Source organism: Homo sapiens, chromosome Y (genome assembly GCF_000001405.40).
Source record: "Homo sapiens chromosome Y, GRCh38.p14 Primary Assembly".
NCBI classification, from domain to species: Eukaryota; Metazoa; Chordata; class Mammalia; order Primates; family Hominidae; genus Homo; species Homo sapiens.
The window spans coordinates 9,465,683-9,490,832 of NC_000024.10; the positions used below are offsets into that span (position 1 = coordinate 9,465,683).

At 48.1% G+C, this 25,150-nt stretch overlaps 2 protein-coding genes and 1 long non-coding RNA gene across 8 annotated transcripts; 2 read left to right on the forward strand and 1 right to left on the reverse strand.

Annotated features, from left to right (window-relative positions):
* Window positions 1,273–4,067, forward strand: TSPY1 (testis specific protein Y-linked 1). Of its 5 annotated transcripts, NM_001320964.2 has the most exons (7): window positions 1,273–1,405; window positions 1,667–1,804; window positions 2,412–2,489; window positions 2,618–2,729; window positions 2,831–2,976; window positions 3,083–3,164; window positions 3,857–4,067. In NM_001320964.2, exons 1-7 carry the CDS (start codon window positions 1,319–1,321, stop codon window positions 3,877–3,879), a joined length of 666 nt encoding a protein of 221 aa, NP_001307893.1. In that variant the 5' UTR covers window positions 1,273–1,318; the 3' UTR covers window positions 3,880–4,067. The 5 variants fall into 5 exon arrangements, 4 of the variants coding, with proteins under 4 accessions (NP_001307893.1, NP_001184171.1, NP_003299.2 ...); XR_001756005.2 differs by having other exon boundaries at window positions 1,273–1,804; window positions 2,838–2,976; window positions 3,072–3,164; NM_001197242.2 differs by having other exon boundaries at window positions 1,273–1,804; window positions 3,072–3,164.
* Window positions 13,371–18,972, reverse strand: FAM197Y4 (family with sequence similarity 197 Y-linked member 4). Its single transcript, NR_145470.1, has 4 exons — window positions 18,871–18,972; window positions 18,639–18,784; window positions 16,982–17,140; window positions 13,371–13,430 (listed from the first exon to the last, which is right to left on the reverse strand). It is a non-coding gene; the product is annotated as a family with sequence similarity 197 Y-linked member 4 (long non-coding RNA).
* Window positions 18,973–21,584: 2,612 nt separating this feature from the next.
* TSPY9 (testis specific protein Y-linked 9) lies at window positions 21,585–24,399 on the forward strand. Of its 2 annotated transcripts, none has more exons than XM_047442744.1 (6): window positions 21,585–22,134; window positions 22,742–22,819; window positions 22,948–23,059; window positions 23,161–23,306; window positions 23,402–23,494; window positions 24,189–24,399. In XM_047442744.1, exons 1-5 carry the CDS (start codon window positions 21,631–21,633, stop codon window positions 23,462–23,464), a joined length of 903 nt encoding a protein of 300 aa, XP_047298700.1. In that variant the 5' UTR covers window positions 21,585–21,630; the 3' UTR covers window positions 23,465–23,494; window positions 24,189–24,399. The 2 variants fall into 2 exon arrangements, with proteins under 2 accessions (XP_047298700.1, NP_001382992.1); NM_001396063.1 differs by having other exon boundaries at window positions 23,413–23,494.
* The last annotated feature ends 751 nt before the right edge of the window (window positions 24,400–25,150 follow it).

The following is a 25,150-nucleotide window of genomic DNA, read 5'->3' on the forward strand; positions in this document are numbered from 1 at the left end:
ATGCTCTGTGGCCTGGGGCATTCACGGAGCCCAGCTCCAAGTGAAGGACCTCCAGCGAGTCCATTGACGGCCCCGGTGTGCTCGGTCCAGGGCCAGGCTGTGCCCGCTGGCCCTCCTTCTGCCACCCCACGTCGGGCTCCACCTCAACCACCACCTCCACCTCAGCCATGATGTCTTCCACCTTCAGCACCGCCTCCTCTTCCAAGGCCGCCTCCTTGCTCTGTACCCCGGCCGTCCTCTCCAGCATTGCCTCCAGCCTGAACACGGTTTTCTCCTGGGTGCTCCCACAGACCCTGGGCCTGCGCAGCCCAGCCCAGCCCAGCCCATGCCCCGCACCCGTAGGCTCTGGGGGCCCGCTCCCCAGCAGACCCGCTCCCTGCAAGACCCACGCGTCGCCCTGCTGTGAACCTGGTCCCACACCTACGTGGACCCAGGTTTCCTGAGGACGTCCGCTGGACCCGCAGATCCCGCACTGGCCAAAGGGCTCCGGTCCCCAGCAGGCTCAACTGCGCACAGGAGCTCGGGAGCCAGAGGCCCCGGCCCTGGGCTTGCAGAGCCCCACCAACAGGCACCGCAACCGCTGCTGCGGGTGCGGGAGCCTCTGGGTCGTCAAGGCAGCGCACAACAGCGTGCGCGCAGGCCGACAATGGCCAACCTGGCGGCTGGCCTCTGGTGTGCCCAGGGCATAGGACAAGAGGCCCTTTGGAATGCTCCTTGGAGTACAGCATCCTCAGGGAGGAAGCATGGTACTCGGAGCCTCTATTTGCCTCGACCTGTGAGAGTGTGTGCCGGGGCTCTGGCCTCTACAGCAGATCAATTCCACCTCAGCACCGGCAGGCGACTTTCCTCCCACGTGCCCGCCCCGATCACTTCCCCCAGGACACCCCTGCCGCCCTAGCCCCAGCAACCAGAGAGAGTTCTCTGCATCTGCTGTATTACCTCCGTACCATCTACCTGGCCTGCCTAACGAAGAGAGATGTTTCCTGTGTTCATGACACATAGAGATGTTCATGGCTTGCCACACTGAGGATGTCAGGGCACAGGGCTGCCATGCCCACAATTCCAAAGGCCACGCAGCCCGCGTGTGCCCGGATGCCTAGCTACCCGGCACAAGCTCCAAGGGCTTCTCGGAGGAGGCTTGGGCAGGGAAGGCAGGGGGGTGGGGGGGCTGGAGATGCAGGCCCGCCAGTGGCTGTGCCGCCCAGGGAGACGCCCACCGCCCTCCCATTGATTGGCCACGACGGGAGGAAGTCGGCCTGGGTGCGGCCCCCCGGCCCTTCGCGCGCAGTCCCTTAGGGGGCGCCTGGAAGCCCGGCGCATGCGCCCTGAGGGCTCGCTGACCTACCGGGTGCCAGAGAGGCTGCGGCAGGGTTTCTGTGGCGTGGGTCGGGCAGCACAGGCCTTGGTGTGTGCGAGTGCCAAGGAGGGCACCGCCTTCAGGATGGAGGCTGTGCAGGAGGGGGCGGCCGGGGTGGAGAGTGAGCAGGCGGCTTTGGGGGAGGAGGCGGTGCTGCTGTTGGATGACATAATGGCGGAGGTGGAGGTGGTGGCGGAGGAGGAGGGCCTCGTGGAGCGGCGGGAGGAGGCCCAGCGGGCACAGCAGGCTGTGCCTGGCCCTGGGCCCATGACCCCAGAGTCTGCACCGGAGGAGCTGCTGGCCGTTCAGGTGGAGCTGGAGCCGGTTAATGCCCAAGCCAGGAAGGCCTTTTCTCGGCAGCGGGAAAAGATGGAGCGGAGGCGCAAGCCCCACCTAGACCGCAGAGGCGCCGTCATCCAGAGCGTCCCTGGCTTCTGGGCCAATGTTGTATCCTTCTCAGTGTTTCTTCGGCCTTTCTAGTGGAGAGGTGCTCTCGGGGAAGTGTAAGTGACCGATGGGCAGCTCGGCGTCGATGTGACTCTTTGGGGAACAAAGGGGAGTTGCCACGGACCAGTGTGGCTGTGGAAAGCCGGAGCAGGCGTGGGTACTATTGTCCTGCATGCGGCAGAGAAACCCTTGGTGATGCCGAGCAGCAGACGTTTGGGGCATCTTTTTGAAGAGCAGAAGCGAGTTCAGAGCGGAAGAGGTTTTTCAGTGAATGAAGCTATTTTTAAGGGAGTGTGATTGCTGCCCCTTGCTAGTCCGATCTGGGACTGGGCGTCTTCGGCTATAAGCAGATTCTGCCACTCCTCAGACACCAGCAAGTCTCTGCAAATCGCGCCTCCCCATGTCAGTGCAGTCAGCCTCAGAATCATACACCCTCTGTGAACACAGGAGGCCTTAGTTTACGGGGACGGGGAGGCGAAAGGAGATCATACATGGAAGCAGATCTGAGAAATCCCCTACCCCAGCCTCTGGGTGCTCTTAGGCCTTCTTCCCTGTTGCTCCTCGCTTTCCCTTCCATCGTGTGTAAAGTCTCTTTGACCTAAATCAGATTGCAAACCACCCCCAGATGTCAGCCCTGATCACTGACGAAGATGAAGACATGCTGAGCTACATGGTCAGCCTGGAGGTGAGGCCAGGAAGACTGGGGCTAGAGGGTTTAGCGGGGGAGGGTAAGGGAAATAATTCATTCCTGTAAGCAAGAGTGAGCACCTCACCCGAAAACCTATCTAAGCTTTCTCCACCTTGTCCTGACAGGTGGGAGAAGAGAAGCATCCTGTTCATCTCTGCAAGATCATGTTGTTCTTTCGGAGTAACCCCTACTTCCAGAATAAAGTGATTACCAAGGAATATCTGGTGAACATCACAGGTGACAGGTGGCTCCCAGGATGGGTAGTGGAAGGAAGATGGTGGGTGGATCATTGCCAACGGGATCCAGCCCCCTTCCCACAAAAACTCCTGTCTCTGTAGAATACAGGGCTTCTCATTCCACTCCAATTGAGTGGTATCCGGATTATGAAGTGGAGGCCTATCGCCGCAGACACCACAACAGCAGCCTTAACTTCTTCAACTGGTTCTCTGACCACAACTTCGCAGGATCTAACAAGATTGCTGAGGTGAGTCCTCACTGGGAAACATGAGGAATGACCCCGTGTGTTCCCAGCTGCTTGGGTCACCTTTCTGAGCCCTGATGAGGCCTTTCCCGATTGAGTCCCCTGACAGATCCTATGTAAGGACCTGTGGCGCAATCCCCTGCAATACTACAAGAGGATGAAGCCACCTGAAGAGGGAACAGAGACGTCAGGTGAGCCGTTAGTTGGCACTGGAGCTGTTTGATGCGCAGTATAAGGGGGTTGACACACCTGCCTATTCAGGGAGCCTGGGTGCTCATTTCAGAAATGTAGAAACTGAGGCTCCTTTCGTACATGTAGAAATTCCTTGAGAGGAAGACAGAGTGACAGAATCCAGGACGTTCATGGCATTGGGCTGAAAAGGCACGTTAGAGACTGCACTGCAAAGCGGGTGATAGCTGTGGAGTCTTAAGCCCAGTGAAGAATCGTCCATTTCCAGAATCAATGAGAAGTAAAGCTGAAAATCATTCAGTTCAGTCTGTGGCACTTGATTCCACGGCTGTCAACCCCACCGGCAGTCATCCCACCAACCCCATGAGATTGGGCTCCCTGAATGTGCGTCCTGGTCATCCTTGCCCCAAACCACAAAGGACTGTTTAGATTGATGGATTTCCTTAAGCTGTTGCCCCATCAGACTTGTGTGTGCTTTTAGGGCCCAGTGCATCTTGTTAGCTGACTCCCCTCACAGACAATACTGGGAATGGGGCAGGGATTGCGCAGAACAGTTTGTAACACGTGGTAGGAGGAAGTTTAAGGGATCACAAATGGGGAAGGGATATCCTTTTCTCAGCGGGCCCCACAATTGAAACATTTCAAAGTATGGCTCAGAGAAAATGCGTTTTAACATGAGTTTGTGTTTCTCTAGGGGACTCCCAGTTGTTGAGTTGAATATGATGGAGCATCAGATTTTACCTAATACAGCAGAACTCCTAAAAAGTTACAGCCATATGCAGGACGGCAGTACTCAGCATGGTCTTATGCACAGGAACTAAAGGAAAAAGAGATCGAGTCACAAAAATTCAGGAAGAGGGGGTAAATGTGGATTGTATGGAATGAAAAATAAACATTCTCAAGGATGTGTGACTCTGTGTCTGTGTGTGTGTGTGTGTGTGTCTTTGTGTGTGTGTGTGTGTGTGTGTGTGTGTGTATGTTTATCCACTTTATTCGGGTGTCATAATGAATTGATCAATCCACGTGCTTTATTCTCTTAATGGAAATAACCAGTCTGCGTTGGAGCTGGGCCTCTAAAGTTGTAGAGTGAATGGGTGTGGGATGTGTTGGGATTCTTCCTACAGGACAGAGTGGGAGAGGTAAAAGCAAAAGACAGCTTAGTTGGAGGCTGACTTCGTCCTGTGGAAGCAGAGATAGTTCAAGGAAAGGGGTTACTGGGTTTCCAGGGCCCAGTTTGCTGGGACCTCCAAAATCCTTCATTTTGGGTATCATCATACACAGTAGCTAAGCACAGGATGATGGAAATCTTAAAGTTCGCTTCCGTGTTGAATCCACATGTTCTTTTAAAGGTGAATGCATGATCCTTTTCTGGGACAATCAGCCTCTCAGGACTTCTGAAACATCAACGTGAGAAGAAATGGGCATGTAAGGTGTATGGAGGGACTGTGGGAAAGGTGACAGAGGCATGTGGGAAGGCATTCAGGATACGCTTTTGGCAGAGATGACTAAGGGAAAACAGAAACTTACAGAAGTGAGGGGAAAGGGGGTGGATTAGTGGAATATAAGATTGTTGGAGAATCCATCCATGGACTCTCTTGTCACTTGATGACCCAGGATATGGACACTCTTGTTGATGTTTACATCTTTAGTTGTTTTAAGCTTTTCTCCAAGATTCTGTGTTAGGTGAGGAGCCAATAACGTATGTAGCTAACAACAGTACGAGTGCATTTTGTGCTCTTGCAAAGTCTAGTGAGGCTCTATTCTCCCTCGTGATTGGCACTGCAGATTGTATCTGGAGCCCAGGGCCCCTAAATTTTCTGTGGCCTCTTCAGCATAGTTTGCCTAAGGTTTAGAACGTAAAGCGAATATAGTTGCGGAATATGTTTTGCAAGCCTCACACAGGAGGACAAAACATACAGCTTTCATTCGCGAGTGGGAGGCTGCTTCCCAGGAACACGTGTGTCTGCACAAGACAAGGGGTTGCCTCTGTCAAGGATGGGGCAGGAGGATTTCAGTGTCGGAGGCAGAACTTTCTTTCCTGTTCCCAGATGAAACAGTTCCAACACGAGCATCCATGTTGACCACACGCTACTAGAGTGCTAACATTGCTGTCCCGTATAGACTCTGGTCAGCACAGCTTCTGTGAGAAGAGCTATGTTGTTTCAGGGAAGAGGGTTTGACAGTCAAAGTTCCTGAATCTGTTGTGGTGCCTGCAATATGCATTCTACCCCTCCTGCTCGGTGTCAAAGCAGTTGAGCTTTGAAAATCTATCGCCCGGTTTTGTCCCTGCTCCTATGCAGACCTCTGAAGCTCTGGAGCGGGAGTCTTGTCCTCCTCTGACTACCGTCCCCCTGACCCACAAACACAGGAGAAACAGGTGTTCTAAGCAAATTATTCTGAAAACAGTCGGAACCCTTTGGCCCCCTCAAGCTGCCCTGTATCCTACTGTGTGCATGTCAAAGACACTGTGGTCCAGTACGGTATCCCTATAGCGGCAATGGGGCAACAGATTGGTGTGTGCACTCTGGGCAACTCAGATTAGGAAACGTCTGGGGACTTGCCTATAACGAGGTCGTCTTAAAACGTGTTGCCCCAAATTTAAGGCATAGGAAAATGTTGAGGAAAGGGTCTTGCAATGATTTTTCTAGGAGGTAAATAGATAAGAAAATGACCGTAAATAGATGCCAGGGCTAGTTTTGGAGCTAGCCTGTTTTAAAGTGGTGGTAGGGGAGGAGCTTTTTCCAAGGCAGGTAGCAAACCAGGAACTGTCTACGATGGATGGGCGTGCCACGGGTTGGTGGCTCAGCCATATTGCCACCCCACCGAGTGAATGCAGCAGACTGGGCTTCTTCCTTGAATCCTACGTGCAATTCAGTCTAGTGATTTCACATGAGATCCCTTCTTCTGGTATTATCACAGATCGTGCTGAATTATACAGGCTGTGTAATGCTTCTTCCACTGAATATCCGTGCACGTGGGCCACAGATGCTAAGGGCACTGACAAATTTGCACCGTGCCTCAGTAACTCGGAAGCACATCTGTGATTTGTACCGACAGGGACTTGGTGTCTTTTCGTGTTTAAAGTAGCACGTGTGTGTTTGTGGTTGCGTATGTTTATTTCTCTGTGCGGGTTTGTATATTTTCTCTGACTCCACCTGTGTCTCCGTGGTTCCGATATTTTTCCACACTCCCTGCGACAATTTGCACATGCCTATCTCTACAACCATTGTAGACTTTGTATCTGTGTCTTTGAACATCTGTCACTCTCTCTCCCTTCCTTTTTTCTTTTCCTTCCTTTACACCCCTTTCATCCTTCCCTTGCTTCCCCACCACACTCTCTCCATCTGTATCGTCTATCTTTCTATTCTCTATCTGGGTTTCCTTTCTAATTCTGAATTCAAGGGCATTGAATTGAAAAGAAGCACTCTTCGTACTTTTATGTGTTTTAACTCATTTGGGGAATTTGGCGTGGTATTATTTACAGGGTTCTCTCTGCCCTTTCTCATTGTTCTCCCCAGCCGGGGCTGTTATTATGTGAAAGCTGGTTTCCTTCATCACATCGCGTAGGCTCTAATGATGTTTCGTTTATTTTGATTCTCCTCACACTACATAGTTTTAATTTACCTAATGTGACTGTTTTTTTGTTTGTTTTCCGAGAATGGGTCTTACTCTGTCTTCTAGGTTGGACAGCAGCCCCACGATCTCAGCCCACTGCAGCCCAGGCACCACACACCCATGTGATCCTGTCAACTCAGACTCTCACACACCTGGCAGTACAGGTGCATGCCACCCCTCCAAGCTATGTATTAATTAACTAAATACTTACTTTTTGAATGTGGGTCCATGTTGCCCCAGGCTCATCTGGAACTCCTGAGTGCAGGCAATCCTCCCACCTCAGCTTATCAAAGTGCTGGGATGACAGGTGTGACCCATGGCCCTGCCATGGCTTTGTGTTTTTTGCTTTTTTCTTCCTCCTCCTCACGTCTTGTTTTGAAACATGCACTGAAGGTTTCAATTCATGGACTATAGCCTCTGTGCCTGGAATTTCTATCTTTCAACTCATCATCAGCATTCATTGGGATTTTCATATATATATATATATATATATATATATATATATACATACCTATATAAGAATACCTATGTACACACATATATACGTATATACATGTATATACGTATATATGCACATTTATATACGTATATACATGTATATACGTATATATATACATGTACACATATGTATTTATTTCTCAAGTTACGAAACGGCTTGCATTCTTTCCTGTGTCATGAAAAAGACTTTGCTAGAAAAGAAAAGCACTGCTTTATAATAAAATATTTTATTTGCATTTATTTTGTTAAGGCATTTTAAAAATTGTATGTTTGTTTAAAAAATGTCATATGAAATGATACATATTTACAACTTAAGGCGTGATGTTCAACAGGTCATATACATTATGCATTGGATACATCCAGCCAATCAACATATGTGTGACCTCACATAGTTGTCATTTTTGTTGTGAAAAAACTTGACCTGCACTGTATTCGAATATTTTTAGAGAAAGAATATGTTACCACTAGTTATAGTGAGCATGCTGAAGAAAATATTTTTAACCTATTCCTCCTTTATAACTAGAAGTATGAGTTCTTCATCCAGCATCTCGTCAGTGCACCCTCTTCACCGCAGTCATTGGAGTCACTACTTCTGTGAAGTCCGCTTTTTTGATTTCATATAAGAATGAGATCATGTGCTATTTTCCTTTCTGATACCTGGCTTATGTCACTTAACAGAATGGCATGCACACATTCAGCAGATTCCCACACATTCTCACAACTGGCAGGATTTCCTGATTTCTTATTGCAGCGCATATTTACGTTGCGCATATGCGTTTTTGCCCCATTTTTTAATCCACTTATCAATGGAGGGACACTCAGGTTGCTTCCGCATTTTGGCTACAGCAAAAATGTAATGAGTGCAGCAATAATTGCATGGGTGCGCGCACCGCTTCAACATACTGATCTGTGTACTGGCGGGCGTGCCCGGGTATTCTGATTTGCTGGATCATATAGTGGGTGGTTCTACTTGTAGATTTCTGAAGGCTGTTTATACTTAAATAAGAGCCATAAAGCTTCTTTAATGCCAGCACTAATTTACATTCTCCCCAAAAGTGAGCAGGGAATTCGTTTTCTCTGCCTCCTCACCAGAGATTAGGGTTTTCTTTTCTTTCTTTTTTTTTTTTTTGTTTGTTTGTCTTTCGGATAATATGCATTCTGACTGAAGTGAGAAGAAATCTCATTGTGTTTTTGATTTGCATTTTCGTGATGGATTGGGGATAATGAGGAATTTTTAGTGTGTCTTCTGGGCAACTGTATGTCTCAGTTTCACAAATGAGTCTTCGCAGCCTTCGCCCATTTGTTTTCATGCTATTGAGTTGTTGGGAGTTCCTTATGTACTGTGACTATTCCCCCATGAACAGATGTATGGTGATCCAATCATTGCTCCCATCCTGTAGGATGCCCCTTCTGTATGTTGAGTTTTCTATGGTGTGGTGAAGCACTTTAGTTTGATATGATTCCATTCTCTATTTTTGATGGTGTTTACTGTGTTCTTGCAGTCACTTTGAGACCATCATTGCACACACGGACGCCATGGAGCTTCTTCCTTGTGATCTCTTCTGCTATTTTTATCGTTTCACATCTGACACTGGAGTTTGGTGATAAATAATCCACTTGTAAAATCCTTTGTGTGGCTATTCAGATTTCCCCAACCTAGTTTATAGAAGATACTTGATTTTGCATTGGTCGTTCTTGCTTCTTTGGGAAAAGGCTGTGAGCTGCAAATGCAGTGACTTAGTTCTGGGCTCCTGTTGTTTTTCCTAAGCTCTAGTCTCTGCTTTTCTGCCAGTGCTATTGTATTTTGGTACAAAAAGTTTTGTAGTAGTATATCATGAAGTTAGGTAGTGTGGTGGCTCCAGCTTTGTGCTTTTTACTGGATTGCTCTGGGTTTTCAGGATCTTCTGCCATTTCATAGCAAATTTGGGATTCCCAGATTGTTTTTCTAAGAAGAATGTGTCATTGATATTTTTACAGGGGTTGTATAGAATCTGAGGATGACTCAGGTAGTAGTGATGTCAATGCCGTTTAGACAATGTGCGTGTTTGTGTGCACAAGCTCAGGGCCAAGAGACACTGGGTGTCCTCACCAATACTGAGGTGGGCCTTAATATCCAGCCAGATTGCCTTCTGGAAACACACGGAATGTCCTGTTCTGTTTTGCCATCTCTTCACATTTCCTCCCCTGTGAGCCCTGTGTGGTCCTCCAGATTCCCTGTGCGGTGGCCTGCCTTTTTTGGGGTGGGGAGTTGCTGGGTGAATGAGGATGGCGGAGGGAACCAAGCATGTCAGTGGAGTGTGGTGTCATCCAAACGGTACTTAGCAGGCCTGGGAGAGTCATTCTGGGAGGACGCAGACCTAGAGAGGCCTCAGGTGGGCATCTGTGTGGAGGGTGAGAGATCCCTGGTTGAGCCCAAACTGAACCCCAGGTAGAAGCAAGCCTCAGGACAGGGAAGTAGCTAGCAAGGGATGATGAGGCAGCTATCTCTTGACCCTGGCTTCCCACCCATTGACCTTAGCTACTTATGCCTATTAAGCAGATTACGGTTCCCCCATCGTGAAATGTGGGTACCACAGTTCCCTGATGGGCATTTCTCCACCAGCCCATGATGGCCTGAGTTTCCTTACTGCAGTCTCCTCCCTGAGCCTTGGCTTCTCTATGTGTGTCCTAACTCCAGGACCCACAGGCCTGTCAACCCCCAGCCCTGGGCTGCTTCCCTGGCCTCTTCTCTGTTCCCTCTCTGAGGGCCTAACTCCCTTGGGTAGTGCTGCAGAATATAGAGCCACAGGCCCTGGCTGATGATCTGGTGGACTGGGCAAATTGGTCGTGACAGGTCAGGTTCTGGTTCAAAGCCAATTCCTCCGATGCCAAGGAATGTCGAAGAAGGTCCTTTGCCATGATGCCCCATAGCTGCCCCACCTCAGCAATCGTGCCGTAACCTGGGCCCTCACAGTCAGACAACCAGCTGAAGAAGCTCAGGCAGTGACCTGCGGGAAACTCGGGCTTTCACCTGCATGACCCTAGAACCACTGGACTGCAGTGGAGCCAGTCGCCCTGTATCCTGGAGGGAGACGAGTCAGGAAGGCGCACGCCAGGCCCAGCTTCCGAGGTACTACCCCCTCTACTCCTCAGGGAGGATGCCAACGCAATACTCCTTAGTCGTCACTTTGTTTCCGAAGTAAATGTTGTGATGAAAGGCAAACTTCTTCCTACCCCTTGTATTCAGGGTGGCCGAGTTCCTCCACCTGCCTGTCCAAGAAGGAGAAACAGGGCTGTGAAGGGGCAATTTCATCTAGGTGGGCTGAGGTGGCATTCTAGCCGGGGTGAAGCATGCGTTTCCCCTTCCCAGCTTTCCCGCTGAGACACACCTGAGCCCCAGAAGGACCTCAACCTGACCAGGACCTTAGCACCCTCCCCCAGACCCAGGCTTTCCATCCTGACCTGCAAATCCAACATGCAGCTTTGAAGGACTTTCTCATGGTTTCTGAGCTCCTTGCTCTCACCAGAAAGAATCAGAACTTTTAAAGTGTTCTTTATGCCAACTTAAATTTTTCATTTTTACTACCTCATGTTTTGGATGAGGCATGTATTTTTAAATTTATTTTCACCCTTATTGTACCTCTATGATAAACTGCTTGCTTACATTCATACCGTAATTATCTCTCAGGTTACTTGTCTGTTCCTAAAGATTCACTGAAACGAAGAATTCTATATATGCTTGTATCTTTCAGCAACCGTATGTCAGATAACACTGCACATTACTGCAGACATCGCATATACAGGTCCAAAGGTAGAGGAAGAAGAAGAAAGCAAGCGTTAAACTCTATTCATTCCTAAAAGCATATCAGAAACTCACAAATAACAGTGAAATCAAAGAATGATCACAGCCAATTCCATTACATACCTAGACTGAAATACGAAACTTCAAAGAAAAGAAACATTAGAACTTTGGGTTTGTAAAAATTTTCCTATATAGATAAAATTGTTGGTAACTGTGTCTCACTAGAAAACGTAAACAAAAATCCATGTTTTTCATATTTGTAAATATACATAGTTTTATTTCCATCAGTTATGACATGCAAGCAAGTAATAAAGTGAAAGTACAATCAAATGATATATGGAACTTCCTCAGTCTTAAAATATTCCATGGAGACTATCAATTTTATGAAAACTATAAAGAATGCTTCATGAAACTACATTGTACAGTGCCATTTACTATTTTACTGACATTTTAAATAATCAACAATTAAAGGGAATACATCAACATTATTTAATACCAATAACGTTATTTTTCTTGAGTAATCCTGTTGAAATTAAGGATTTTAAATAAAACATTAAAAACAAATTATATTGACTGATTTCAGCTTTGGATGAAATCATACTTGTGTATTTGTAGTAATGCGAAGCATAACTTTCTCCTCACAATTAATCTTTTATAACATCGGTGTTATAGTTTTCTCTGACACCAACATTGTGATATCGCACAGGTTTACTGCATGCATGCATTACATGCCTCCAGAGAGTAGGCTTCAAATATATGGAAAAATTATATTTATGAAAAAATTCTAGGAAAGGGAATGGTGAAATGGAAGAGAATTTCTCACTTGCTAACTGTTGGACATGGATTTGTATATATTTGGATATAGACACATACTGGCACACTGTGAGTTTGCCCATGTATATATACACTTATATGAGAAACCCATAATATATGGGTTGTGTAATCTTTTAATTAATCCATAATTGTATGTGTGTGAAATTAGATAAGCGGTTACCTTTTCTTTACTCAATTTGATGGAAAGCCAAAAAACTCTGTCCACCTTCATTTCAATTAATCCAATACTGTTAACTGCTGGTAGCTTCATTCTCCTTGTTCTCTTACGGCAACCGGAAAGTTAATTCTCGCTCTAATTTGGCTTTCAAGGTGCGATCAACAAGAGTGTCACCTTGCTGTGGATTGTGACCTCTGACTCCACCTCTGTCTTCCTTTTGCAGTCCTACCTTTGCATAGGTAACAAACTTTGTACATGGTTAAAAGGATAAAAGTTCAGTGAAATGTCAAGCCATGCTGTGAAATGTTCCATAGTTTCTATATCTCTAATTGTCCTTTGATGTTATAGAGGCAAGAAAAATAATTCAATGTTTTTCTTAGTATCTAGTCCAATGCACTCTTTCTTCATAATACTGCAAACAAGGCACTGACATGGAAACGTGGCTGGACGTCTCAAAATCTCTTCTCATTAATTACCATTATGTTAATCACTGTTGCCCACAACTGGAATTGGACTTTGAAATCCCCTGGTGGAAATTGCTATAATGGCTCAAACTACTGGAAAGACTATCTTTTTTTTACCTGAAAATATCTGATGAGCATAGACGTATGCTATATACAGGAACATATTGTACATTAACAACATACCATCACTGCCACTCAATAATAGGTATCCCAAACCTTTGAGCCAAACTGAGCTCAGGTGCTCCCACAAACCAAGCTTTTCCCTCCACAGATTTCTTATGTCAAAAAGCCACAACTCCAGGCCAGGCTTCGTGGCTCTTGTTGTAATTTCTACATTTTGGGAGGCCGAGGTTGGTGGGTCACTTGAGGTCAGGAGTTGGAGACCAGCATGGGCAACATGGCAAAAAGCTGTCTCTACCAAAAATACAAAAATTAGCCAGACCTAGTGGCACTTTCCTGTGGTCCCAGCTACTTGGGAGGCTGAGGCAGGAGAACCACCTGAACATGGGTGGCAGAGATTGTATAGTAAGCCAAGATCAGACTACTGCACTCCAGCCTGGATGACACAGCGAGACCATGACTGAAAAAAGAAAAAAAAAAAATAAAGGCAACTCCACTCGTCCACTGGCTTAGGTAAAAAATACTGGAGTTGGCTGGGCTCGGTGGCTCACACCTGTATTCCCAGCACTTTGGATTTTGGGAAGCTGAGTCGGGCGGGTCACCTGAGATCTGTAGTAGGAGAGCAGCCTGGCCAACATGGTGAAGCCTGGCTTCTACTAAAAATACAAAACATTAGCTGAGCGTGGTGATGCATGCTTGTAATCCCAGCTACTGCAGAGGCTGAACCTGGGAGGCGGAGGATGTGTTGAGCTGAGATCCTGCCACTGCGCTCCAGCCTGGTCTACAGAGCGAGAGTACCCTGTGAGAAACAAAGGTGAAGAGAACAAGAAAAAAAAAAATGAGAAAAATAAGACCCACTGCAAAAGGTTGCCACAGAAAAGATTAAACATTTCAGCAACTTCTATCTTCTATCATGGAAGCCAAGGTTATTTGGACCAAACCTCCTGTCTTAGTTCATTTTCACGCTGCTGAAGAAGACATACCTGAAACTGGGAATAAAAGGAGGTTTAATTGGACTGACAGTTCCACATGGCTGTGGAGGCCTCAGAATCATGGTATACGAATAAAGGCACTTCTTACATGGCAATGCCAAGAGAGAATGAGGAAGAACCTGAGGCAGAAACCCCTGAAAAACCCATCAGATCCCGTGAGACTTCTTCACTGTCACAAGAATAGCATGAGAAAGACCGACCCCCATGATTCAATTACCTCCCCCTGGGTCCCACCCGCAACACGAGGGAATTCTGGGAGATACAATTGAAGCTGAGATTTGAATGGAGACACACCAAACCATGTCACTTCCCAAACAATTAAAAATTCCCAATAGAAGAAGCATTAATTATATCAAAAAGTGGTGGACCAAGAAGGAACTATTAGCCTCATATCTCAAGAAAGACTCCAGTCAAGGCCTAGGGACTACTCATGAAAAGAGTTTAATAGCCGACTCTCTCCCAGTGGATCTGGATTCCACCGGACTGTATCTTCACAGTAAGGGTGAAACAGAAGCAAACCCATTCCTATTTCCAAGCTCAAGGAACTTTGGTCAAAGTTCTCTTGGAGCTGAGCAGAACAAGGAGGCAAACAGAAAAGATTTGTGTCCCTGAGAAGTCATGGCCACAGGCTGGCTATCACACAGATTGTCAAGCCAGTTCCATATTGCATGGGTATTACAGAAAATCTCAAAACATAAATTTGTGTGTGGGTTGTCCCAGAGTAGCAGGATCTGGCAGAAGGAAATTTCCTTCTAACCCTCAAAGAATCCACATAAATCTTGTTACATTTGGGATTTTACGATTTGCTTCAGGAATGAGAATGGCCTTAATTTTCATATCTTTTTCTACACTCAGTTTATGGCTTGTTGGCGTCAAAGTTCTGCTTGCTTCACACAATGAGTTTAGGATTTTCCCTTTTTTATTCTATAGAATTCTTCATATATATTGAAATGCTCTGCCTGGGGAAAAAAATCTGAGCCTAGCGTTTTATCTCTAGGAAGAATCCTTTATTTCCTTGAACATTTATGAGACTATACAGATTATATATGTCTTCTTGTATCAATTTTACTAAGCTATATACATAGCTTATGTTTATATATTATATATATAAATGTAAGATACAAATATAAAAATTATGTATAAATATGAAAATATATATAGAAAGCGATATATATGTCTATATATATAGACAGATTATAAATATCTGTCTATTTGACCTAAGTTTTCAAATTTGTAGGTTAAGGTGTTAACGATATTTCCTTATTAGCTTCTTAATCTATGCTGTATCTATGGTTGTGTACCTTTTAAATTCTTAGTTTTATCTATGTTTTCTCCCTTTTTTTCTAAACTTGACTGACGGTTGCATCACTTATTATATTTCTCCAACAAGCAAAGGTTAGCTTTGTATGTTTTACTAATTTTGTCTACATCATTATTCCCACACTTTAGTTTTTCAGAATTGATTCTGTTGTTTCTTTTCTAATTCTTTATTGAAATATCTAGTACATTAATTTTCAAGTTATTAGAGAAATATTTGTCTGTAAACTCCTATTGTAATATCACTTTTCTTGCTACTCACAGATTTAATCTTTAATATTGGCGGTATCATTGAGTTCTAAGTACATTTCAATTCCTAGTATGATAATCTATGAATTGCTGAGAAATAGTGTTTACAATTTTGTTGTTCTATTTCCACTTAAGTTTATTTTTACTTCTGCTAACTCAATTGAAAATTCTTTACTAATTTTTAAAATCCTTGAACCCAAGAGATGGAGGTTGCAGTGAGCTGAGATCAGGCCACTGCATTCCAGACTGAGTGACAGAGTGGAACGAGATTTCAAAACAAAACAAAACAAAACAAAACAAAACAGTCACTGGAAAGATAATAAAATACATAAATGTGGGATGTAATATGTAATCGTGATAAAATAAACTGGATTTTTTGTATAAGTTATACATATAAATGTAATGCCAAGACACTGATAAGACAACTCATGGTCTTATCTCAATACTTAGTGTCTTCATGTAACATATGTCCTTTAGGATAGTTATAGTCCGTTTTCTTTCCAGGAGAGACAGATGAGAATGCAGAAATGTTAAAGTGCAAGGGACGGAAGCTTCCAGCTGTGCCCACCTGTAACCTGACGTAGACAGTTCCACCGTTTGCTTCATTAATCATGCCAAAGGCTCTAATGCAAATGTGGTACAGAGTCACATGTTTTTGTATCTACATGATAGAAACTATAACTTCATCCCTATATAGAAGGGTATATAGCATATGCCTCAGTGATAAATATAAGTGAATCCTTGATCAGTAGGAAACCATTTTAAAAGTCTTTCATAACAGAACAAAATCCCTGAAAACATTTTCTTCTCAATCTCTGAGTTTTCTTACACGGCTTATGAATCTCTAGCCATACTAAAGAGATAGTATGCTGCTCTTCCCACAAATTATTCATTGTATATAATTCCTGTAATCTAATAACAGTACCTTTACACCTCAGGGTTTAAAATGACTCCAACCTTTTTCTGTTTCTCCAATTAAAATAACTTTTTTAAGGTTTAATCTTCAGTAATTTTTTGTAGTAATATTTTTGAAGGTATTTGACCAGGATGATTTGCTTATATACCTACCTGACGTCTCCCTTTCTTCTGAATACATATTTTATTACCCACCTATTAGATCTAAGTTTAAGAAGTTGGAATAGGGATTTAAATCTAAATTCTACATTTGAATTTACAGGAGTCAGCGAGTCCGGGAAGTGCCTTTATGCACAGACCAATATCTGGCAATGGCACTAGGAGACAAATAAGCTTTACCAGTCTCAAAGCCCTGGCTACTACAGTGAATCCACCCTTCTCCTGGATCTTATCTACTTCAGCAAAAGAAGGCCACCCACTAAACCAGGCCCTTGTACTTTGGGTGGAAACTCCTAAGTCCTCTAGTCTCCTCAAACAGACAGCCAGGCTGCCAATTTCCACAATAATAATTTCTATAGCACTGAGTCTTTGGTAGCCTTGTAACTGTAGCTACTGATGCTACAGTCTGGTCCCTGTATGATAAAACACCAGAGCAACAGAAACAAAAATATTGACTGAAGCCTTCTAAAATCTCTCTAAATATACCTTCAATAAATATGGTTTTTTTTACAGAACGACTGCTTTCAGCTTCCTGAACTAACGCTTGGCCTTCGCTAGTTGTCACTGTTGAAATTGATTCAAAAGTGTACATTTAACATGAAAGTCAACACAGAATTTCATGTGTCAGCAACTAAAATTTTCAAAATGTTGCAAAATACAAATGTGAAACTGTATTTGTGAAATTTACCATTCATTGAAATTATATTTTCATACCTACCCAGGCACAGAATTTTTTATAACTGTCTGCATGTTCTCCTCATGTGGGGGAAAAGCAGCATCAGCAGGCAGAGGAATCCTTTGAAGCTGGAGGGAGAGGTTGCAGTGATCTGAGAGTTTGCCACTTGACTGCAGCCTGGATGACACAGTGAGACTCCAACTGAAAAGAAACAAACACACACCCACACACACACACACACACACACACCCCCAAAATTGATAAGTAAAAAAAAAATCCATATTCGAAAACATGCTCACAGGCTAACTCCCATATCTAACACACACACACACACACACACACACACACACACACACACAATTCCTTGAAAACGAAAGTTCCACAAGGGCAAAACAAGAAAACAAATTTAACACCCCCCAAAGAAAGTACAAAGAGTAACCTCAAAAGAACCGCAGGGGAAAACAATTCAAAATTTACAAGTATCTACCCTAAAAGAAGCTGAAAGTCCCTCAAAAACTTTCCAGAGGCCATGTCCTTGTATTACAAAAATGATCATAAAAACTGGCAGGAGTAGACGAATAGAAATGCATCTTAAAACTTGCTAAACCCTTCAAGTCTCCCATAAGAATTGTAATGGAAAATGGATCGGTCGGCAGCTTTTTCCATACAATTATGAACAAATTATATTTCTTCATACATAGATTTGTTTTTTCAATATTCTAAGGAATTAACTTTTATATTAATAGTAGGTGATGTAAGAAAGCAGGCCTTTATCAAGATAACTGACACTGGATGTCCATACCATTACTCAGGTGGGCCTTAATTCCCAGCCGGGTTCCCTCCCTGGACACACACTGAAGGTCCCCAGCCATTTGGCAATCTCTTCACATTCCCAGCCCTGGAGGTAGCCCTAAAATACATGTACCTGAAGAAAATAAAACATTGCCTCACACTGGAGCCCAGTGTGGTCCTCCAGATTCCGTGTGAGGTGGACTAACTTATATGGGAAGGCAGGGCAGCGGGAGTGAGGATGGCAGAGAGGATTACACATGTCAAGGCAGCCGGGGTCATGGAAACAAAACATGACTGGCCTGGGAGAAACACTATGAAAGGACATACACCTAGGTGGGCCTTAGGTGGACATCCTCGTGGAGAAAAAGGGGGCCCTGGTTGATCTCAAAATGAGCCCCAGGTGGTAGCAGGTCTTACCGCAGGGCAGGGAGCTGGCGAGTAATGATGAGACAGCTATCCCTTAAGCCCTGCTTGTCACCCACTGACTTTAGCCACATATGCATCATAGTGGCTTAAGGTGCCCCGATCCTGAAATGTGGGTGTTACATGTCCCTGATGGGCCTCTCTCCCCCAACCCACGGATTGCCTGGGATTGCTCACTGCAGTCTCCTCCCGGATCCTTGGGTTCTCCATGTGGGGCCCAGATCCAGGTCAAAAGGCCTCTCAGTTCCCAGCCCTTCCCAGCCCTAGGCTGCTCGCCTGGCCTCCTCTCTGTTCCGCCTCTAGGGCTGACCCTCTCTCCATGGGATAGAACTGCAATGGATTGAGCCATAGGCCCTGGGTGATGATCTAGGTGACTGCAGAAGTGGGTCCAGGACAGTTCAGGTGACAGTTCAAAGCCAATTCCCCAGAGACCAAGGAATGACCAGCTAGGTCCTTTCCCATGATGCCCCACGGCGAACCCCACCTCAGCAATCCTGCCAAAACCCGGGCAGTCATGTTCAGCCAAACAGCTGAATGAGCTCAGGTAGGAGGTGTACTGCCTGCAGCTGGAGGCTTGACCTTCGTGATCCCAGAACCGCTGGACTGCAGTGGAATGAGACACCCTGTAGCCTGCAGGGAGAGGAGTCAGGAAGGTTCATGCCAGTCCCACCCTCCCACACACCAGCTCCCCTACCATGCTGGGAGGCATTCCTTACCGAGGATGCCAACACAGTGCTCCTTCATGATGATTTCACTGTGGAAATAAAGGTTGGGATGAAAGGAAATCATCCTGCCACCGGTAACCGGGATGGCTGAGTTCCTCCACCTGCCGGATCAAGGAGAAAGAGGATGGATTCAATGGGACCATCTCAACTAGCCGGGCTGAGGTGGCCTACTAGCTGTAGTGAACCATGAGTTTCCCCTTCCCAGCTCTCCCACTGAGACAACCCTGGTCCCCAGGGGGACCTCAAACTGACTCAGACACTGGACTCCTCCCACAGACCCAGGCTCCCCAGCCTGACCTGCAAATCCATCACGTAGCAAAGCAGGACTTCCGCATGCTTTCCGACCCACGCCGACATCTCGTGTGCCAAACAATCTACCTCTGCGCAAGAACTCTCCAGAGGATTGGGTGGGCAAGCCTCGTGACGCCTTGCAATTTCGCAAGAACACAGACAATGTGGAACAGGGCCATCTCCCAGACATTTGGCCAGTCACCCTTCATTGTTGGCCCTCTATCTCTGTCTGGCGAGGAGGCAACGCCACAACTGTGGTGGTTTTTGGAGTGGGTGGACCCCGGCCAAGACGGCCTGGGCTGACCAGAGACGGGAGGCAGAAAAAGTGGGCAGGTGGTTGCAGCTGAGGGACGGGAGGGGCCGGGGGTGGTGTGAGGCGGCTGCTTCTCTGAGTTTCTGAGATGCAGGAGGCCTTTGTGTGCTGGGTGCTGGACATGCTCCGCTGATGTCCGGGTGTGTGGTGTCCTCTTATCCTAGTCTCCCTGAGGGGTGGGCCTGTCCACCTGAGGGAAGCCTTGTAGTTAGAAGCCACAGCAGGGTCGTGCCTGGCGCTCTCCAAGGGAATTGCGTGGGTCCAGAGGAAGTTATACAGGCTCAGGGCCTACACGCCTTTGAGTGCAGCGCCTGCAGTTGGATGAATGCGCATCTGCGGAGCTGGTGCCCGCCGTCAGGTGGTCGGCAGCCCCATGCGCCGCGAACCCGTCTTAAGCACCTTGTGTTTCTGGGGTGAGCCTGCTGGAAACAGGCACCGAGAGCAGGGGTGGTTCAATGGCTGGTAATGGCATACAGATTCCCCGTCCTCCAGGGACGTTCCCAGGGAAACGCGTCCTTCGAATTTGGGCTGTGCGCAAAGGGACCTTGGCGCCGCGATTCTCCCTTGTCAGTGCTGGCCCTGGCTCCCCTTCCCTACCACGTGCTCCCAGGGCTGCTACAAGCGAGCTGCCCTCACAGCTGCGGGAACGTGGCCTCGGCTCCCACGCTGTCCCCCATCCCCTGCCTCCTGGCTGACCCCACGTGCCTCCCACCTGGCTCCTCCCCGCAAACAGCCCCCATACCCCCCGAGGCCCGATGACTATCCCCTGCTGCCCGCCATCCCAAATCGGCAGCCGCAAGGATATGGCTCTGGCTCACAAGGCGGAGATGCTCTGTGGCCTGGGGCATTCACGGAGCCCAGCTCCAAGTGAAGGACCTCCAGCGAGTCCATTGACGGCCCCGGTGTGCTCGGTCCAGGGCCAGGCTGTGCCCGCTGGCCCTCCTTCTGCCACCCCACGTCGGGCTCCACCTCAACCACCACCTCCACCTCAGCCATGATGTCTTCCACCTTCAGCACCGCCTCCTCTTCCAAGGCCGCCTCCTTGCTCTGTACCCCGGCCGTCCTCTCCAGCATTGCCTCCAGCCTGAACACGGTTTTCTCCTGGGTGCTCCCACAGACCCTGGGCCTGCGCAGCCCAGCCCAGCCCAGCCCATGCCCCGCACCCGTAGGCTCTGGGGGCCCGCTCCCCAGCAGACCCGCTCCCTGCAAGACCCACGGGCGTCGCCCTGCTGTGAACCTGGTCCCACACCTACGTGGACCCAGGTTTCCTGAGGAGCTCCGCTGGACCCGCAGATCCCGCACTGGCCAAAGGGCTCCGGTCCCCAGCAGGCTCAACTGCGCACAGGAGCTCGGGAGCCAGAGGCCCCGGCCCTGGGCTTGCAGAGCCCCACCAACAGGCACCGCAACCGCTGCTGCGGGTGCGGGAGCCTCTGGGTCGTCAAGGCAGCGCACAACAGCGTGCGCGCAGGCCGACAATGGCCAACCCTGGCGGCTGGCCTCTGGTGTGCCCAGGGCATAGGACAAGAGGCCCTTTGGAATGCTCCTTGGAGTACAGCATCCTCAGGGAGGAAGCATGGTACTCGGAGCCTCTATTTGCCTCGACCTGTGAGAGTGTGTGCCGGGGCTCTGGCCTCTACAGCAGATCAATTCCACCTCAGCACCGGCAGGCGACTTTCCTCCCACGTGCCCGCCCCGATCACTTCCCCCAGGACACCCCTGCCGCCCTAGCCCCAGCAACCAGAGAGAGTTCTCTGCATCTGCTGTATTACCTCCGTACCATCTACCTGGCCTGCCTAACGAAGAGAGATGTTTCCTGTGTTCATGACACATAGAGATGTTCATGGCTTGCCACACTGAGGATGTCAGGGCACAGGGCTGCCATGCCCACAATTCCAAAGGCCACGCAGCCCGCGTGTGCCCGGATGCCTAGCTACCCGGCACAAGCTCCAAGGGCTTCTCGGAGGAGGCTTGGGCAGGGAAGGCGGGGGGTGGGGGGGCTGGAGATGCAGGCCCGCCAGTGGCTGTGCCGCCCAGGGAGACGCCCACCGCCCTCCCATTGACTGGCCACGACGGGAGGAAGTCGGCCTGGGTGCGGCCCCCCGGCCCTTCGCGCGCAGTCCCTTAGGGGGCGCCTGGAAGCCCGGCGCATGCGCCCTGAGGGCTCGCTGACCTACCGGGTGCCAGAGAGGCTGCGGCAGGGTTTCTGTGGCGTGGGTCGGGCAGCACAGGCCTTGGTGTGTGCGAGTGCCAAGGAGGGCACCGCCTTCAGGATGGAGGCTGTACAGGAGGGGGCGGCCGGGGTGGAGAGTGAGCAGGCGGCTTTGGGGGAGGAGGCGGTGCTGCTGTTGGATGACATAATGGCGGAGGTGGAGGTGGTGGCGGAGGTGGAGGTGGTGGCGGAGGAGGAGGGCCTCGTGGAGCGGCGGGAGGAGGCCCAGCGGGCACAGCAGGCTGTGCCTGGCCCTGGGCCCATGACCCCAGAGTCTGCACTGGAGGAGCTGCTGGCCGTTCAGGTGGAGCTGGAGCCGGTTAATGCCCAAGCCAGGAAGGCCTTTTCTCGGCAGCGGGAAAAGATGGAGCGGAGGCGCAAGCCCCAGCTAGACCGCAGAGGCGCCGTCATCCAGAGCGTCCCTGGCTTCTGGGCCAATGTTGTATCCTTCTCAGTGTTTCTTCGGCCTTTCTAGTGGAGAGGTGCTCTCGGGGAAGTGTAAGTGACCGATGGGCAGCTCGGCGTCGATGTGACTCTTTGGGGAACAAAGGGGAGTTGCCACGGACCAGTGTGGCTGTGGAAAGCCGGAGCAGGCGTGGGTACTATTGTCCTGCATGCGGCAGAGAAACCCTTGGTGATGCCGAGCAGCAGACGTTTGGGGCATCTTTTTGAAGAGCAGAAGCGAGTTCAGAGCGGAAGAGGTTTTTCAGTGAATGAAGCTATTTTTAAGGGAGTGTGATTGCTGCCCCTTGCTAGTCCGATCTGGGACTGGGCGTCTTCGGCTATAAGCAGATTCTGCCACTCCTCAGACACCAGCAAGTCTCTGCAAATCGCGCCTCCCCATGTCAGTGCAGTCAGCCTCAGAATCATACACCCTCTGTGAACACAGGAGGCCTTAGTTTAAGGGGAGGGGGAGGCGAAAGGAGATCATACATGGAAGCAGATCTGAGAAATCCCCTACCCCAGCCTCTGGGTGCTCTTAGGCCTTCTTCCCTGTTGCTCCTCGCTTTCCCTTCCATCGTGTGTAAAGTCTCTTTGACCTAAATCAGATTGCAAACCACCCCCAGATGTCAGCCCTGATCACTGACGAAGATGAAGACATGCTGAGCTACATGGTCAGCCTGGAGGTGAGGCCAGGAAGACTGGGGCTAGAGGGTTTAGCGGGGGAGGGTAAGGGAAATAATTCATTCCTGTAAGCAAGAGTGAGCACCTCACCCGAAAACCTATCTAAGCTTTCTCCACCTTGTCCTGACAGGTGGAAGAAGAGAAGCATCCTGTTCATCTCTGCAAGATCATGTTGTTCTTTCGGAGTAACCCCTACTTCCAGAATAAAGTGATTACCAAGGAATATCTGGTGAACATCACAGGTGACAGGTGGCTCCCAGGATGGGTAGTGGAAGGAAGATGGTGGGTGGATCATTGCCAACGGGATCCAGCCCCCTTCCCACAAAAACTCCTGTCTCTGTAGAATACAGGGCTTCTCATTCCACTCCAATTGAGTGGTATCCGGATTATGAAGTGGAGGCCTATCGCCGCAGACACCACAACAGCAGCCTTAACTTCTTCAACTGGTTCTCTGACCACAACTTCGCAGGATCTAACAAGATTGCTGAGGTGAGTCCTCACTGGGAAACATGAGGAATGACCCCATGTGTTCCCAGCTGCTTGGGTCACCTTTCTGAGCCCTGATGAGGCCTTTCCCGATTGAGTCCCCTGACAGATCCTATGTAAGGACCTGTGGCGCAATCCCCTGCAATACTACAAGAGGATGAAGCCACCTGAAGAGGGAACAGAGACGTCAGGTGAGCCGTTAGTTGGCACTGGAGCTGTTTGATGCCCAGTATAAGGGGGTTGACACACCTGCCTATTCAGGGAGCCTGGGTGCTCATTTCAGAAATGTAGAAATTGAGGCTCCTTTCGTACATGTAGAAATTCCTTGAGAGGAAGACAGAGAGTGACAGAATCCAGGACGTTCATGGCATTGGGCTGAAAAGGCACGTTAGAGACTGCACTGCAAAGCGGGTGATAGCTGTGGAGTCTTAAGCCCAGTGAAGAATCGTCCATTTCCAGAATCAATGAGAAGTAAAGCTGAAAATCATTCAGTTCAGTCTGTGGCACTTGATTCCACGGCTGTCAACCCCACCGGCAGTCATCCCACCAACCCCATGAGATTGGGCTCCCTGAATGTGCGTCCTGGTCATCCTTGCCCCAAACCACAAAGGACTGTTTAGATTGATGGATTTCCTTAAGCTGTTGCCCCATCAGACTTGTGTGTGCTTTTAGGGCCCAGTGCATCTTGTTAGCTGACTCCCCTCACAGACAATACTGGGAATGGGGCAGGGATTGCGCAGAACAGTTTGTAACACGTGGTAGGAGGAAGTTTAAGGGATCACAAATGGGGAAGGGATATCCTTTTCTCAGCGGGCCCCACAATTGAAACATTTCAAAGTATGGCTCAGAGAAAATGCGTTTTAACATGAGTTTGTGTTTCTCTAGGGGACTCCCAGTTGTTGAGTTGAATATGATGGAGCATCAGATTTTACCTAATACAGCAGAACTCCTAAAAAGTTACAGCCATATGCAGGACGGCAGTACTCAGCATGGTCTTATGCACAGGAACTAAAGGAAAAAGAGATCGAGTCACAAAAATTCAGGAAGAGGGGGTAAATGTGGATTGTATGGAATGAAAAATAAACATTCTCAAGGATGTGTGACTCTGTGTCTGTGTGTGTGTGTGTGTCTTTGTGTTTGTGTGTGTGTGTGTGTGTGTGTGTATGTTTATCCACTTTATTCGGGTGTCATAATGAATTGATCAATCCACGTGCTTTATTCTCTTCATGGAAATAACCAGTCTGCGTTGGAGCTGGGCCTCTAAAGTTGTAGAGTGAATGGGTGTGGGATGTGTTGGGATTCTTCCTACAGGACAGACTGGGAGAGGTAAAAGCAAAAGACAGCTTAGTTGGAGGCTGACTTCGTCCTATGGAAGCAGAGATAGTTCAAGGAAAGGGGTTACTGGGTTTCCAGGGCCCAGTTTGCTGGGACCTCCAAAATCCTTCATTTTGGGTATCATCATACACAGTAGCTAAGCACAGGATGATGGAAATCTTAAAGTTCGCTTTCGTGTTGAATCCACATGTTCTTTTAAAGGTGAATGCATGATCCTTTTCTGGGACAATCAGCCTCTCAGGACTTCTGAAACATCAACGTGAGAAGAAATGGGCATGTAAGGTGTATGGAGGGACTGTGGGAAAGGTGACAGAGGCATGTGGGAAGGCATTCAGGATACGCTTTTGGCATAGATGACTAAGGGAAAACAGAAACTTACAGAAGTGAGGGGAAAGGGGGTGGATTAGTGGAATATAAGATTGTTGGAGAATCCATCCATGGACTCTCTTGTCACTTGATGACCCAGGATATGGACACTCTTGTTGATGTTTACATCTTTAGTTGTTTTAAGC

Bases quoted from the DNA above. Each gene is read 5' to 3' on its own strand.
- TSPY1 (NM_003308.4), top strand. From the start codon at position 1,319: ATGCGCCCTGAGGGCTCGCTGACCTACCGGGTGCCAGAGAGGCTGCGG. The intron at 1,805-2,411 runs GTATCCTTCTCA...GACCTAAATCAG, and splicing joins CTGGCTTCTGGGCCAATGTT to ATTGCAAACCACCCCCAGAT. The intron at 2,977-3,082 runs GTGAGTCCTCAC...GTCCCCTGACAG, and splicing joins GATCTAACAAGATTGCTGAG to ATCCTATGTAAGGACCTGTG.
- TSPY9 (NM_001396063.1), top strand. From the start codon at position 21,631: ATGCGCCCTGAGGGCTCGCTGACCTACCGGGTGCCAGAGAGGCTGCGG. The intron at 22,820-22,947 runs GTGAGGCCAGGA...TTGTCCTGACAG, and splicing joins GCTACATGGTCAGCCTGGAG to GTGGAAGAAGAGAAGCATCC. The intron at 23,307-23,412 runs GTGAGTCCTCAC...GTCCCCTGACAG, and splicing joins GATCTAACAAGATTGCTGAG to ATCCTATGTAAGGACCTGTG.